General features: G+C 38.8%; 1 protein-coding gene across 15 annotated transcripts in view; it reads right to left on the reverse strand.

Annotated features, from left to right (window-relative positions):
• The window catches only part of SLC1A2 (solute carrier family 1 member 2), a 169,303-nt gene continuing 151,887 nt past the window's right edge, over positions 329–17,744 (reverse strand). For all 15 annotated transcript variants that reach the window (XM_047427443.1, NM_001439342.1, NM_001195728.3 and 12 more), the window contains 2 exons: positions 14,651–14,882; positions 329–10,089 (listed from right to left, as the gene is read on the reverse strand). In XM_047427443.1, the coding sequence (XP_047283399.1) occupies positions 10,018–10,089; positions 14,651–14,882 (304 nt within the window). In that variant the 3' untranslated portion in view covers positions 329–10,017. The remainder of the gene's footprint in view (positions 10,090–14,650; positions 14,883–17,744) is intronic.

A 17,744-nucleotide genomic window follows, 5' to 3' on the forward strand; every position in this document is an offset into this window, starting at 1 on the left:
CCCTCATACATCCTGAGTGAGGACAGCACAGAGCAGAGTCTCCCAGCCAACTGGTAATGGACATGTCACATGAATAAGAAATACACTTTGGTTTTAAGGCCCTGAGATTTGAGGGCTACCCCATACCAGCTGATTCATTGACTATATACCATTTCATTCAACTTACTAACTTTAGATTGCACGATGTAATTCCAATAGATATTTAGGCTTCCTAGAAAATACTCATTTTAACATTGTAGCCATCAATTCATGTTTCTACAAAAAGAACACTACTATGTAACCAACAATTAGTCTAAAATGGGAATTAAAGAAGAGGCAACAACCAAAATAAATTGAAATCCACATTTATTGATGAGAGATATATACACAAAAGTTAAAACACTTAGTGAAATATTGGATTCACAGGTTATTTCCAGTATATAAAGAATATCCAGTTATTTTACACGTGAAATGTTACAGTAATCAGTCCACATTGTAAGAAAGCTTAGAAAGCTAAAGGCGAAAACAAAAGACCTCAACTACCCAAAATGTGCTTCATCAACAAGGCATTTTCTAGTAGCATATATGAGAAACAATTCAAAAATTAGTTGAAGATTTTATCTTTTTGCATTCATTAGTCTTTAAACACTATGTGCTATAGATGCTCTGTGCTACGTGACTTCAGACCAATGGGGATTGTGAATGTGAGGAATACAATTAGTTTTATCTTTTGTTCTGGACATACAAGAATTTTCAAAGAGAATCCTGCATAAAGCCCAGTTTTATTTCAGGAAGTATTCCATCCTAAATTTGAAAGGAGTTGAAGAAGCCACATTTTCAAGGAAAAATTAGCCTGTCCACCATATCTCCTCATATGAAGCAGCCACTGCAAATTAATGTGCTTCATGCCCCCTGATGATATTGTAGGCTTTACCCTTCTTGGGAAAAGAGTAGGGCACTCAGGGTTCCCTATAGCACATGGCTAGTTCTTCTCTGTCCTTGGGGAGGAGAAAGGGGTTACAGGAACTATAGACCTCACAGCATTGTATTTAGCGATAATTATACAGAATGTGTGTTTTAGGAGGCAACTGTAAACTTGCATTAGTTAATCCCATCTTCAATCATTCAAAACATGCACACAGAACATATTAGGTAGAGAACGTCATACTCCCTCATATATGTGGGACCTGTGTTCATCAGTTGCCCCTCTACAACCGCATAAGCTGTACACTCACTATTCCTGTGCTTCTAGTGCTCTAAGTTTTTTACAGAGAACTCTGAAGTTTATAGCCAGAACTGTGCTTTCGTAGGGTTTCACCTGCAGATGCATTTGCAGTTAGTTAGTCAGCAATGTTTTTTCCTGTACCCTGACTCAAAAATCCAAGGGAGACAAGGCTCCTCAGAACCTTTAAGTCATGAGCATCATGATGAGTATTTGGCAACCAGAGAGGCTGACCTTTCTCTAAAGACATGATGCTAATATGCACAGAGTCAGACTAACTTTTTGTTCCTCTGAGCCCAATCCACCAAGCAAAGGAGGACTGTAGATGGATGTTCTCATTCTAAACCTACCTAAGTCTAGGTAATCAAAAGTTCCACAGTTGCATTCACCATGTATTAAACAGACATGAGATGACCTTTCACTAAGAACCAGGACACACACCCAGCCCATCCCTGCTCTGAATTGTGTATTTACAAAGGTGCTGGACACACACAGACTTTCAAACAATCATCAGTACAAAGGATTCACAGATAAATTCTTCACTCATATATATTCCCAAGCCACACTGAGAAAGAGGAGAAATGATTCACGACTAGTTATCTAAGAAGGAAAAAGAAATGTTTGCAAAACACCGATCAACATGTCTACTGCATTTAGATGAATAGCCAAAAATAACATATACATTTAAATTACAATACATCTATACACCATTTCACTGAAATTACACCTAGATACCTACATTATAGCTACACAAAGTGCATAGGCACTGTTCTTCATGCGTGAACCAAGTGTCAGTGTGTATACACAAGAGCTTCATGCTTTGACAGCTAGCTGTACTTGAAAATAGATACAATTATTGCCAGTCGAGGGTACATCTAATCTGTTTGTTTAATGAAGAGCAGGTTCAAATACATACCAATACACTTTCTATGTAACTGACTACTTTTTAAACCACGGTAAAAATACTACTCCTACCACCATCTCAGAAAGTATTTGGTGGAAGGAAGACACCTCGTCTCTGCAGTGGCTATCGTTTTACCTTTCGGGGAAGTTATATAGTCTGTTATTCACCTGAGGACAGAAACTACCTGGGCTGCTTTTAAACAATTTCAGTATGATTCTAAGCCCCCACTCCCAGCCCCCAGTGATACAGTATTGCCTCATAGTTGGTTCTAAAAATTTTTTGTAAACTTTCTTTAAAAATATGTGCTCAATTCACATAACAATGTGACATTTACCACTAATTTGCTTGGCAAGAATTAACTGCAACAAATCTGTCCTGATTTCATCTCTAGCACTCATCCTCAGTCTCTGCTACTCAAAGTTTTCCTAAGCCAATTTCCACATAAACCTTTAGGAATGTATGAAACATTCTGATCTAGGAATAATCCTACTATTAATACCTTGTCTTTGATAGTCTTAGAGAAAAGCAAAATGAGAATGCTCAGCTGGAAAAACAAGGCCTGGTGTCAAACATTTAAAAAATCAGCACCATTCCTTGAGTTAGAAAGATGAATTATTTAGATGTATATCCTCACCAGCTAAGGGATTTAAGCAATTCCTTGTTCTTAATGGTTCATTTTGTTTATTGCATCACTAAAGACTGGGTTCTTAAATTTGTCAAATGTGACTATATAGTCAAGAAACAATTGGTAGCTCTAAATTGCTGAAGAAACTTCTTGTGCTCTAATTAGTTATAATTCTACATGTGTGGTTACATAGAAAATACTGTAAGAAAATATGTCTGCAAAATTACAGATACTAAATAGATTAATTCAGTCTACACTGAGTTCTTTATAATTTCTGAAGAATAGTTACAAACCTATAACATTATTAAAGGCTAAATTAATATTAAACATATAACATCCAGGTCTATAAATACATTTTCTAATGCTCTTTATAAATAATAGCAAACAAGCTAGGGGATTTGTTTAAAAAAATGTAAGACTGGGCTGGAGGAATTTGTGGATTTAGGGTGCAATACTGATCAGAGGGCAATATATTGTCCCTGGTAACACAGACTCTTACCAGGAAGCCAAAATATATCTGCTGGCAACAAGATCAAGTTAGATTCACAGTTTGCCAGCTCTTTCCTCAAGCTGTAGAAAACAAATAGAAAAACAATATACAAAATCCTCAAAAAAGTAGTTTTTTTATATACAAATCTCTATAGTGACCAGATAATCTGATCTGTGTTGTGCAACATGGAGATGCAATGCTGAGGTTTTCCAGGAGAAAGAGAAAGGGAGGGAGTTAAGGTGATTTGTAGAAAAATCTAGATGCCAAAGGATGACTTTCTATAAGGGAAGTAACTCTTATGGAGTATTAAACCACCAGACAGCCAACTTTCTGATCATTTATCTCAGGGAATTCGCTCCATGGGTCCATGGGGGAGAAACCTCAGAGATGTGCTGGACCAACTTCCTTGGCTAGTGTGTGTATTTGCCCCCTAGCAAAGGCAACAGGCTGTTTCCAGGCAGGCAAAATGGTTGCCATGAGAAGAAACAGTGCCCCAGAAGGAGTGAGGCTCCGACTGCAACATCTCCATCTCCAGTGAGGATGATGACAAGGCTAACAGTCAGTTGTCAGGTTTCAACACTCACCCAAGGATTGGGGGTGTCTCCAGAGAAACTGAGGACCTGTTGCTACCCATTCTCTAGGTCAACTTCTGACTCTACAAAGCAGTGAGGTCTGTTCCAATAGCTGGTTTTATTCTCAGCACAAAAGGGCCCTGTGTAAAAACCAGAAGGATTTTGTAAAATATCAAAATGAATATTTGGCCTGGAGGTTGGAAAGTGAAGCAAGGCTGGACATAGAAAAAAACTGATCAGTAGTTATTCAGGATATTATTTAGGATAAATGAAATAGGAACTTAGGGGCATCTCTCACTTTTCTACAGGTTCTTATCTGGGTCAATGAAGAAATTGTGTTTATCTTGCTGCCCTTGCATCAGGTTTTTTGCACTAATGGAAAAAAGCCGGCCGAAAAACAAAACCCAATCCTTTCAGTCCTAGCTTTACATCTTGCCCTTGCAAACCTGAAGAGCTGAAGTCTTCTCTGACAACAAAGGAGTTCACAACACAACAAATACCAACACTACTCTATTTAGCAGAAGTTTGGACAAACAGCAGAGGTGTCCACCATGGGCCATTGCAGCAGTGCCAGAAAGTGCAAGAGGTTGTTTAAAGATCATGGCTGGTGACATGGACCTTGTAGACCATGCATTGTATCCCATCCACCCTACAAACTAATCAGGCCTTGAAGAGGGCAATGATAGTCAGAAAATTCCATTCTTGTAAGTTAGAGCATCTCTTCCTGCAATGTGATACCCATGATAAAAACAAACCAAGAGGAAAATGTGAAAATGAATTTGCGGGCTTACTTGTGAATGGGTGTGCATGTCTACATACTGGCGGAGAAGAAAAGATATTTACAAACAGTTGCCGTGATTGTGCAAGTGTTGTACCAAATTTCAAAAGAGTGATCAAGGTTATTCACCAAAGGCTCTCAAATTCCCATACTGGGTGGGCAATTAGAATTGTTGGAGAAAATTGTGTGTTTTGGGTATTCAGAGAGGGCTCTGTTGCTACAGCAGCAATGATGCAACAGCTTGAGTGAGGCTGTAGGTTCATCCAGTCCTCTCATGTTGACTCTGGAAACATTTTTCCGTGAGCCAAATCACTACTTCTATTAGGAAGGTGAGTTTAAGTCAAGGGAACTTTTATTAAAAAACTTTTATTGGTGTCTCAAAATATCAAACTGTGAATGAACATGGCCAACTTTGAAGCTTGTTGTAAAACATCAAATGAATAGAGGCTTGAATTTAATTTCTCCCAAAGGAGATGAGAAAAATCTAAATTGATTATTCATTATTGTGGGCTACTTCAACTTAAAATGTAAATAGGTCACATTTTATAGTAGGAAGCCTCTTAAGAAGGAAACAAAGCAGAGATCATAATACATTGGGCTCATAGGGCTGGAAGGGGATTTTAGTCATTTAATCCAACCCCTTCACTTTTCATATGGGAGAAAATGAGGCTTGGACACAAAATGACTTATGTAAGTCATACAGCTAAAAATGGGCAGAGTCTAAATCAAATGTTCCCTCTACCAAACCATGTTGTTTCTTATCATCTCTATGTCATTGCCTGAATTAGCTGTGTTATGCTACAAAGTTGGATACTATTTAATCAAGATTCTCTGTTATCTATTTTAAAACCAAGCCTCACACTAACTTGTGTGATGGCTTACTAAGCTGGCTGTTAGCAAAGCAGCAACAATAAGTGGAATGATAGGAAAGGAAGAGGTGGAGTAGAAAATTTGGTTTTCTTTTAGGGAAAATCATAAGAAAATGTGTCATGAGCAGCTGGAAACTCACTCTATGCTAGGAGAACAATCTGCCTCTAGTGCCACCTGCTTGGATTGGCACTCAGTGATCCCTCTAGGCTTAACCAGAAATTACTACAGATACTGAGACCATTTATCTTCTTTGACAATTAGACTTACAAAACTCACTCCAGAATTCCTTCAGGCTGTTTTTTTTTTAACTTAGTCTTCTTCTGCCTCCAGACTCTAGCATTCTTATTCAAGGAGCAAGTATGATAATAACTGAAAATTTCATTTGGTCCTTTTTCTTGGTTTGGAATGAGTTCAGTTGGAGAATAAGTAAAACAAACCAGCAGCTCAGACAACTAGATAGCCGTAAGAGTTAGAGAGCAGCTAGGTGAGAAAAATCACTTCCACTGGGGTATAACTGCTGTGCACTTTTAGTCATCAAACTAGATGAGAGCTAATGAGACTTGTTTTTCAGGAGTCAGAACTATGGAGAATTCTCTCTGAGCACGGATATACCTACTTGGATTTACTGCTGCATTCCATGGGAAAATATTGCACAGGTGGCCGAAGCCTTGATTCTGACAAAAGTAAAAAAAACTATAACATCACTTTTGCTATTGAGAGCAAAGGGACGTGTAGTATTTGCAAAAACATGGCAGAATTGGGTTTCCTTTGGTGGACCCAGTAAATGAGTTTCCCAACCACTTTGCTCCAAAAGGGCTTCTTGACTAGATACATATGCAAATGATGTATTTCTCCACACACAAGTGGAAATGACCAGAGACCCTCTAATCAACAGGTCATTGAGATTCCTGGCATCACCTAGCAGGAATCTCCCCATGACTTGAATTTTCCCTAAGCCTTTCTCATATTCCATGAGTCTAAATCCAGGAGCTAGGCATTTTGGCACCCCTTCTTTCAGCTTTCATGAATATCCAGGCTGACTAGTGGTTCGAGAGGAGAAAGAAATATTTGTCTTTTACAGGGTATGGTAACTTCCGCAGACAGCAAAACCATAGGCTGTGTTTCTACACACTCAATAGGAAGTAAAAACTGAAACTGATAGCTATGTGGTTCAGCTCTCATAACCTAGAGTCCTATGTTGAAGATCTGTGAGATCTAGATGATTGCCCTGATTTTCTGATGCTCTTTGTATGGGAAGCATGCCCTCAAAGATCTAAGGTAAAGTATTACCTTGAAAGATAAGCTATTCTTCTCACTGATTGGATTGGATTTGATTCATTGAATTTGAGTAAGTAATTAAGTGATGATTCCACTTGGGTTTCTCAAAGGGCAAGAATGAGAAAGAGAAGAATTAAAGTCTACTTAGTTGGTTTTCTCCTGAAATGATTCTGATTCCTAAAAAACATGAATGAGTCTATAGCAAAATGGCATTGCCGAAGCCCTGATTTACAGACCTTACAGGATGCAGTGTATGTATGTTTCTGGCCTGCTGTAACTGTATATAAATATAACATTTATGCATTATCAAATAGTAACAGACTATTACAAGCATTCATATATATGTTGAACCAATTAGGATAAATCTATACATATAATTGACAGGTTAAATGTATTCTATTTAGATAAAGGTTATTAGAGGTATACCCTGGATCCATTTGTTCTGTTTATGGCACATATGCTGGGCAAAGAAAATCCCAAATGGGCATGGCAAGGGAGAAATAAATGAGGCTTAAATAAAAACAGAGGACATAGACATATGTCAACATGTCAACTCTACATGCATTTTGGATTTTCAGGCTAGTCCTGAGTTCAAGAAATTGTATATTTTTAATATGACTTATTGAATTTCCAGATAAGTGTGATTTTCTAAGTATATTCTCACGAGACTTCCTGCACACAGTAAGTCTCAGACCAGAAAAAACTTGCTTTGTGAAGTTGTACACCTTGTTTCTTCCAAACACATTGTCTGCTGACATATTTACAGGCTAATAGGATAGCTAGGAAAAAGTTGAAGACAAAACACACCGGAAAGGTTTCAGGCAGAGTTCTGAGAAGAGAATCCTGTGACCACTCCATTGAGAAACATGCCCATGTATATAGATCCCAAAGCTGGCCTTCCATAGCAAAAAACAACAAGCTCCTAGACGCTTTGCCTATAGCCTCCAACTTACCAGAAAAAAGCTCTTGGGAACACCACTTAAAGAAAATCCTAAACAGTTTCACAGCTAAACCCAGGAACTGTCTCCTTAACCTATAACATTTGCTGTAAAGAATGTATTTTCTGGCCGGGCACGGTGGCTCACGCCTGTAATCCCAGCACTTTGGGAGGCCATGGCGGGTGGATCATGAGGTCAGGAGATCGAGACCATCCTGGCTAACATAATGAAACCCATCTGTACTAAAAATACAAAAAATTAGCCAGGCATGGTGGCATGTGCCTGTAGTCCCAGCTACTCGGGAGGCTGAGACAGGAGAATCGCTTGAACTAGAGAGGTGGACATTGCAGTGCAGTGAGCTGAGATCGTGCCACTGTACTCCAGCCTGAGCAACAGAGCAAGACTCTGTCTAAAAAAAAAAAAAAAAAAAGAATGCATTTTCTACTACTACACTTAATCATATCCCTTGACCACCCTGACCCTGTTTACTGCCCATCTACTGGAAATAAAGACCAATGTCATTTGAAAAGCAAAAATGAAAAGTTGCCTAATACTGTTCAGTAGTGATCCTTATCCAAAAATCACTAGGGTTTAGGAGACAAAAACAACTGGAATCTCATGTCTCTTGTATGTTTCAAAGGTATCTGATTTAAAAGAGAGAAGTCACAAGGAGCAGATAAGAAAGGCTATTTGAGGTCCATAAGCACCCTCATCTCAGAGAATTTGGATTCTATAAACCATGACTGTCTCAGCATCCCTCCGCTGGTTTCATATAATACAGCCTATTCTCACCTATAAACAAGGTTCTACATACTTCTTAGAGTCAAATGTGCTTTATTTCTCAATGATTCAAGTCCCAAGCTTACTCCCAAACCCAGCAACCTTAGGAAAATACTGTGCGTTATTCAATAAAAAAGGATAGTAGAGACATTAAAAATTTTAGCTTGCATTACCAATCATTAAGGATTTGTTGGCTGCCTACTGCATGCAAGGCACTGTGCTACACCAATTATATTATTTATTCCTTAAAACTTCACAGCCTTAAACAAGATTCCATCTGTGAAGTTGTACAGAGCCATCCTTTGTTGCCATGTCATTGTTCAAGGCTGCCTGGACTCTGCCATAGGAATATCACTTTTATAGGGTTTTGCACAGATGTTTGTTTTCTGTTCCTTTCTACTGAGAAGACTGAGGAGGAAGACTGGCTCTGCTTCCAACTGTGTCCTATAACTGGTTTTATGTGCTTTGATAGAAGATAACAAAACGCTTTCAACATATTGGATAAATACCAGTATTTTTGTTTCATCAAGAGATGACATTAAAAGAGGCACAGCCAACACAAGTGTCTTCCATGTGTGAGGACAGTAAAATGACCAGGCTTTCTAGGACGATGAGATGATGACTGAAATAATTGACAGATTAAAAATATCTTTTTCTTTAGGAACCAAAAAATAATCTTTTGGGTTAAACAAAGCAAAACACATACCAAATAATCTCATTTGATTTTACTACACCAGGTGAAGGCAAACCGAACATAAATAAATTTGAATATTTAACTCTGGTTAAACTTTATGTTGACTGTGCTCTCTTACTTTTGTCAATATCTACAGTGGTTATATATAAAATACTTCCTAATCAATTATCAAATTTAGAAAGAATAATGAAACATACTTTGAAATTTCAACCATTGTTCTCACAGATTACACAGGGTAAGGCAGAGATGTAACAGGTTCTTTAATCAACTGCCTTTAAGAGCATGGCTCCCTTTAAAACTGTCTTTGAAACATTTTACTTAAAGAGCATATGGAAGATAAATTGTCAGAATTCCCTAAGACAGGTATTTGCTTTTAATCAATCCATGTGCAAGCTTTACTAGACATTTTAAGGGGAGTTACTTCTAGAGGCTTTTAATAGAATCTCTTGTGCATAACAAGGCGAGACATGGAGAACACTTTAAGGAATAACACGCTGTGTGTTTGCTCATTTTCCCAAGTCCCTGGAGTGTACCACACTGCTTTACTCATGTCCCCTGGGAAAAGAGCATCCACATTTCTGCATCTTGGGAGAAAAGGGAAGCTGGCAAGAACGTGTCTTCAATTCCAACTGATTCCTCCAGCAGCATCCATTCAAATAATAATACAAGTGAGAAAATTAGACGGTTATAAAGCATTATTTGGCAAAGACACAGCACCGTGCCTGTCATCACTGACTCACAAGAGCTCCTCTAAGCCTCGGCTAACAGATTAAGTAAACATAGAAATATACGCATTTTTTTCCTTTTTAAAGAAAGCTTGTTTATATCATCAGTTACCATAGGATACGCTGGGGAGTTTATTCAAGAATTTGCTGAGACTCATATCCTTATTTCTCACGTTTCCAAGGTTCTTCCTCAACACTGCAGTCGGCTGACTTTCCATTGGCTGCCAGAGTTACCTGAAAATAATTATCATCAACATCCAGCTTACAGACCACGAACCAGAAAAAAGCCCTGTGGGTTATGTGGAGAAGCACCAAATCCAAGATTATACTACATGACTGAAATATTAGTTTTAAATGGAGTTCTTTCCAAATTGAATTTGAACCTGTCTTGGGTTTCAACAGTGATCTGAGAATTTTAAAAATCCATATTTGCCTTGGGAGTATCAAGGTATTAAAGCTGCTTTGTAATTTGGGGAATAACTTCTACTATGTTTTTAGTGTTGTGGGGTGTCTAACTACCCAGAGATCCATCACACAATAACACAGTCCTTAAAATACAGTGCCCATGTGCTACTCCATACAACCACAGAGGAAGAAATCCAGAACTAGGTATCTAGTTCTACTCATGCATGTGAAAGGTTCAGTTGCAATGACACCAGGTAGATGGCATACGTGTCTAATTTTTAAATCAGAAATCATGACATTTCAGCTGTGCCAAATAAGCTATCCCAGCTTTAAAGATTAAAAAGAAAAGTAGGGAGAATTAAAAGTCTGAGATTGGTGACAATGTTTATCTAAATTACTTCAATGCAGACATTTAATAATCAGATAAAATTACCAGACCATCTATATTATGCTTCCCTGGCTCAAAGTGAACTGAACCTTTTTGCAGAATAGGAGGTTTTCCCCTCCACTTCTAAGTAGTTTTCCTAGCTTACCTTCTGTCTGTCTGTCCTCAACGTCATGTGCAAACTTAAACCCACGACTGATATTCCACATAATGGAGAGACTGGATTTATGAAAGCATTAGAATATGGAGACGTGACAAACGCAGTAATGTTTGAAAGAAATCTGACTTTCTTCTTACCCAAGTGGAAGTGAAATGCATGCATCATGACCACATACAACATGCTAGGAACAGAAAACCAAGTGCCCTTCAACGAATCAAGCAAAGGAAAATAAAAACCATTTATCCAATCCCCATTAGCCCCCCAATTTTTTTCAGAAAAACAGACCATGCAATTAGCAATGACTGCTCCACATGCAGTTATTCTGATTAAACTTGAAAACTATTGTGTAACTTCAAACTACTATTACCAGGCAAGAGTTTGAATACACAGACCAACAAGACATAACAATGCTTGAAATGGTTAAAGTTTTGACCAGAGCTGCAGCAAATTTGTTTCCCTTTCAGTGAACTGTCAAGAAAGATTGCCAGGGACAGACTGTCTGCCCAGAGAAAGTTGTCTGTTCACTATAACCTTGAATGTGCCTATTTGGCTCTCAGCGATGAACCGCATCAATAGTGGTACAAAATTATCAATCACAGTGTGGTGCCTTTGAAAGACCAGACAGCACTTGGGGGGAAGTGTTTTTGTTTTGTTTTTTTGTTTGTAAATACTGGGGCCTATGTTTCAAAAGAATCTGGGACAGCAGATTTTTTTGGCGTTTCCTTTCTTGGCTGGGCTAAAGAAAGCCAGGACTCCATTCCCCAACCTGTCCCACTTCTCTCTGCTCCAACCACTTGGGTAATACAAAAGAAAAAGAGGATGGCATTGGCAGCAAGCGCTGACATCTCCCATCTCAGTTTTTAAAAAGTGGGAAATAGTGAGACAGAATTAACCATAAGGAAGTTCAAAGGAATAAGTAAATGTGACCCAGATATCCTCAGAAAGGGTGTAAATTTATCTCCATGGCTCTGGCTGCCTCCTTCCCACACCAGCATCAACACAGTTAACTGATTTAGAGTGAGAAGAATCAACTTGCTTTACCTAGCAAAGGCTGAGGATCAAATAGCCTTCACTAAGCTGAACCCAACAATTTCATTAAAAATGTAAACAACTGAAATAGTTGATAAACCAATAGAGCTATTTTCATCATCTTCAAGACCTGCTCAGCTTGACCACTGGTCACCTAAAGGCTAATTAACCAATGAGTTTGCAGGTGGTTGGCTGGCTAACCATTTACATAGAGACTGAGCCACTATCTCTATGGAACTGTCCAGCAAAAAGGTTACCTAAAACACAGCAAGGACTAAAGATGCTAAAAGGATCCATTCAACAAATATTTATTGAGTCCCCTACAACATGCCAGACACTATTTTAGGGCTGGGTCACAGTAGTATAACTGGGGACAAAGCCTTACTCCTAATGAGCTTACTTTCTACTAATATGGATAATTCACATTTCCTTATAGGGCTTGAAATAGTTTGCTTTAAAAAACGAAGCAAATTGGCCAGGTGCAGTGGCTCACGCCTGTAATCCCAGCACCTTGGGAGGCCGAGGCAGGTGGATCACCTGAGGTAAGGAGTTACTGACAAGCCTGACCAACATGGAGAAACCCCATCTCTACTAAAAATACAAAAAAATTAGCTGGGCATGGTGGCACATGACTGTAATCCCAGCTACTCGAGAGGCTGAGGCAGGAGAATTGCTTGAACCTGGGAGGCGGAGGTTGTGGTGAGCCGAGAGCACGCCATTGCACTCCAGCCTGGGCAACAAGAGTGAAACTCCGTCTTAAAAAAAAGAAAAAGAAGCAAATTTATCCTCAGGTGCTTGATGTCCTTCAAAAACAAATCCAGGAAGTCTGAAATCTAAAGACATCTCCACGCCCACACCTTCTTTTTCAAAAAGTGTCCTACAAAATATTAAGAGGCCTCTTGAGAAATTCCAAAAGGGCCATACGCAGTTAACCACTAGGATTCTTCTCAAATATAATTATGAAATGTTTAAAAAATTGTGATTTTTTTGTTTTACATAATTTTTCCTCATATGGCAATAATTTGAGTTCAAGTCTTATCATCATTACAACATTATACATTCTTTTTGCTGTCCTCCAGTGCCTAATTTATGGCTTTATAGATAATAGGCATTCAATAAATACTGGATGAATAATCAAAATATAGGATCTCACAGGAATGAGACAGGCGCACTCAACTGAATCTTACAAGGCACACAATAAGTACTTAAATATACTAGAACATAAAGCCATTCACAAGATTATTGACCCTTGTTGATTCAAACTAACATTTTGATGGGGAATAATCCAGCACATTCACTCAGATGTGGGAAACACCAGCTTTCCATGAGAATGCATCATGTCCTCTAGGTACATCTGAATTTCTAATAATTTGAATCATTTTCACTGAGTCAATTAATAAACTTGTGCAATTGCCTCTTGATGGGTGGTTTCCCTCCCTAATTTGTTTCAGAGTCCTTGTTCACCCATGTATGTATCTTACAAAGAGAGGACAAGAAAAAGCCTGTGCTAGTCCACTAGAATTCTGGACCTATGTTACAATCCAGTAAAGAGAATTGTTTCTATGACACCCTTAGTTGCCCAGCAAGAGCCACAGTATGTATTTGTAATGACCCAGAAGTAATATAGGAAGAAATTAGTGATTAAATGTGACCTTGTCAACAGAAGTCAAAAAGCTACCAGAGATCTCTGGCTGGGTTCAGCTTGTCCTCAGCTGCTGTGTGGAATCATTTTAGAAACCAACCCCCAGAGTTGATTCTGCTCACCTGCCAGGGTTTCTCCAAGTTTGCTTTACTCTGGTCATGACACTCTGACTTTGACAATGTCAAATTAGTTACAATGAAGGCTAGACAGAGCCCATCAAGCTTGAAGAATTAGCACCCAACAGCTTGGAGGAGAGCCCAGAACATCCATGCTGCAGAAAGATGGCACAGCCAGGCATTGTCTGAGATGTAGTGTTTTTAAAAAGACATTTCTGGATAATTGTCCTGAAGGATAGCTGTTCTTTACTTGAAATTGTTTACCCACTTTTGGAGCAAGGTACTCTCAGGTCAAAATTCACCTTTCCCACACAAATAAGAAAAAGATAGTTGTGTAAAGTTAAGTTGGCACATTTTTGACCAATATATGATATATAGCAAGGAGGACTACTTGTGCTAGGTACATCAGATGATGCTGGGGATTTCTCTTGATGTTTAATTTGAGGAATAAAATATTTGAAAATCAGTAGCCACAAATTCTTTTTTTTTTTTTTTTTTGAGATGGAGTCTTGTTCTGTCGCCCAGGCTGGAGTGCGGTGGCGCAATCTCGGCTCAATGCAAGCTCTGCCTCCCGGGTTCACGCCATTCTCCCACCTCAGCCTCCTGACTAGCAGGAGGGCGCCCGCCACCACACCTGGCTAATTTTTTGTATTTTTAGTAGAGACAGGGTTTCACCTTGTTAGCCAGGATGGTCTTGATCTCCTGACCTCGTGATCTGCCCGCCTCGGCCTAGTAACCACAAATTCTTGGGCGAAATATTCAAGACAACTGGTCAAATTAGTTAAATGGGGTAGATAGGGGAACCCGAATGGTTGTTTCACATCACATGGACGAAATAAGCAACTGATTGACTCTTTCTCCATCAGACTTGTTGATTTCCTGCCATGTTAGACACAGAATTAGATGATCTGGGACTCACAGAAGCTTGGGTTACATGATTCTTTAGGAAAATAAATGTGACAATAATACATGCAGGGCTTTACGGTTTTTTTTTTTTTAAAGAAATCAAGCATGCACTACTATATACAAGTCTCGATATCCATGAATGGGAAATGTACCTTGCATTCATCTACTATGACAGAGTTGTGTGCAGCATAGACACATTGATTAGAGTTGCTTTCCCTGTGGTTCTTCATGTCATCATAAATGGATTGAGTCTTGGTCATTTCAATATCTTCATGCACTCGATGCTGGGAGTCAATGGTATCCAGCTCAGACTTGGAGAGGTGATAGACTATCCCAGCCCCAAAAGAGTCACCCACAACATTGACTGAAGTTCTCATCCTGTCCCTGGGGACAAAGAACAGAAAAGGTTCAGTGAGGAAGCAGTATTATGTGGTAGTTGAGAGGTCAAGGTCTGGAGTCAGAGAGACATAGGGTTGAGTACTGGCTCTACCTTTTCCCTCTGCCTGATTTGGGGCAAGTTACTTAACTTTCATGAGCCTTGACTTCCTTGTTTGTCAGTTGGAGGTGATGCTTATACTTCTCTCATAGGCCGTGTGAAAATTCAGTGAGATAACGTATGTAAAGTGCTTAGTAAAATGTCTGGCAAATGGTAAACACCAATAACCAGTAGCAAAGGAAAAGGAGGAGGAGGAAAGAAAAGATTAAAGAAAAATAATGTGTCCAAATCAGAACTAGTACACAGGCTCCAGACACACCTAGCTGAGTACAGCAACCCCTCCTGATTTAAACTGTTGTGTTTTTGAAGACTCTACACTATCTCTGCTTATCTTACTTATTTGTTTTACTGAAAAACTTACCATCTGTGAACTTTCTCATAGTAGAAAAGTCATTCTTTTTGTAAGAATAGGAACTAACCCTTCCTTTCTCCCTGCACCTGCTTCCCTCACACACAGACGCAGCTGTTAGATAAGAAATCCAGCCATAATTTTCTCATTGACCAATATGTGTTATGACTACTTGTCCTGAAAAAAACAAAATACTTTATCTTGCTCTATTAACCTAAAAAAATAAATCTTCCAGAATGTTTCTGGAATCAGGAAATGTTAAGAAAATCCTTCTCCCCGTCTTGAGTTGCAAGTTTTGACTTGAAAAAAGAATGGTTGATAACTCTCTTAGAAATTCAGTGCCAGGAAAGCTAATTAAATTCTTAAGAGTAAGTTTTCTCCTCTCATCCATAAGTTCAAGCCAAATCAGTGTGAAGAATACTTTTGGCCATGTTTACTAGATATTCAAAGTCTTAAAAGGAAGGATGCTGGAAAACCACAAAAAAAAGTTAAAAAAATTAAAATGAAGGAGTTTACATAAAGATGCTGCTGAGACAGTCTTAGTCCAGGACATTTTAGCTTTCAATTCAAATAATATGAGTTCCAGGCAAAGCGGAAACTTTAATTTGTTCTTGGAACAAAGACTCTAAATGAATTCTAGTTGCTATTATCAAATCTATTTCTTATTAGAGAATAATAAGGAAGCTGCACTAGGAAAAGTCGGGCCTGGCTCCTTTGCAAGGCCAGTTGTTTGCAAGGTATAAGCTGGTGGTCTTTCTAATTTCAACTAAGAAGAAAATGTGGAAAAAAATATGATCAGAGCTGGAGTTTAACTCTCAGGGGCATCTCTCCATCTGAGAATGCTCTTGCGCCTCTTCTGCTTTGGAGAATCTGCCTCAGTGTGATCGGGTCTACATCTGAGTGAAGACTGCGTCTTGAGGTCATCCACAAAATCGGGCACTTGGAATAATTGCTAAGAAGCCCCAGTACGTGGGTTTAGGAAGGAATACATGATAGTAGTTAAGAAAAAGCACGAACTTTAGAGGCAGCCTGATTTGGATTCAAATGCCAATTTGTCCCTTGGCTGTTTGACAACCCTGATCATACTTGACATTTGAGAGCCTTAGTTGCCTCGTTTATAAAATGAAAATAATAAAAATCTCCAATACATAAGGTTGTTGTGAAGATTAAATAAGATAACAAAGTGCTTACATGCTTCCGGACATTTAATAAGAACTCAAAAAAATTATTTATTCTATGATGTATAATTTTAATATTATTATAAATTGTATCAAGTCAATTCAAATATATTTGTGGCAACTTCTAGGTAGATCATCCAAATATGGCTAGTTAAGCTACTATCTCCCCCTGAAAACATTAACCCTATTTAATAGCACAACAATTCCTATGGCAACGCTCCCAACTAACTAGCTGACCTATTTGTCCGTTATACAGTTGTGGTCTACTTTGGAGCTACTCCACTATACTTTCAATCCCTCCTGGAATGTATCCTGAGTCATATATCTGTGAAAGGAAAGTAAAATCTCCAGCCCCCAATTTACTATGTCAAATGGGGAAAAAAAAAAAAGCTGAAAGTTGAATCATGCAAGAAACTGCCTCTCCTTCTGTTCCTAAGCAGATAGCTAATAGTTAAATATCTCCACAGGTAGCTACTCTATATTCACCTTATCTTATGTAAAGTGCTGATTTACTGAGCACAAGATAAATACATAATTGTCTATTGCCCTACCAGCTTCTTTTCCCTGGCAACATGTGGATTCAGTAAAGTGACCAGACTCTCCCTCTTTTCCCTCCAGTCTGCATTTCCCCTTTAAATATGGAAGCCCTCAAAATCATCTTTGGAGAAAAGTACAGGCTACAGACTGTTTCTGTGATTCCATGTTTTTTTCTTCTGGGCATGTCTTTAACCTTGGAAAAATAAACTTCTAAATTGATTGAGACCTGACTCAGATACTTTTTAGTTTACATATACAATACCTTTGACCAATTGCAAAATTCCAAAGAATGCTGAGGTCTTTCAGAGCAATACTCTGAGTACCCATTGATCTCATAACCCAGAATAATTTGCATTATTGGCAAAGAAAGACACCAAAGGTAATGGTGGTGGTGGTAGTGATAATGATGATGACAGTTAAATTTATATCACACTTACTATGTATAAGAATATAGTTTATAGGCTGGGCATGGCGGCTCATGCCTGTAATCGCAGCACTTTGGGAGGCTGAGGTGGGCGGATCACCTGAGGTCAGGCATTTGAGACCAGCCTGGTTAACAATACAGTACTAAAAATACAAAATTAGCCGGGCATGGTGGTGTGCACCTATAATCCCAGATACTCAGGAGGCTGGGATGGGAGAATCACTTGAACTGGGGAGGCAGAGGTTGCAGTGAGCCGAGATGG

This window comes from Homo sapiens, chromosome 11 (assembly GCF_000001405.40).
Source record: "Homo sapiens chromosome 11, GRCh38.p14 Primary Assembly".
Taxonomy (NCBI): domain Eukaryota; kingdom Metazoa; phylum Chordata; class Mammalia; order Primates; family Hominidae; genus Homo; species Homo sapiens.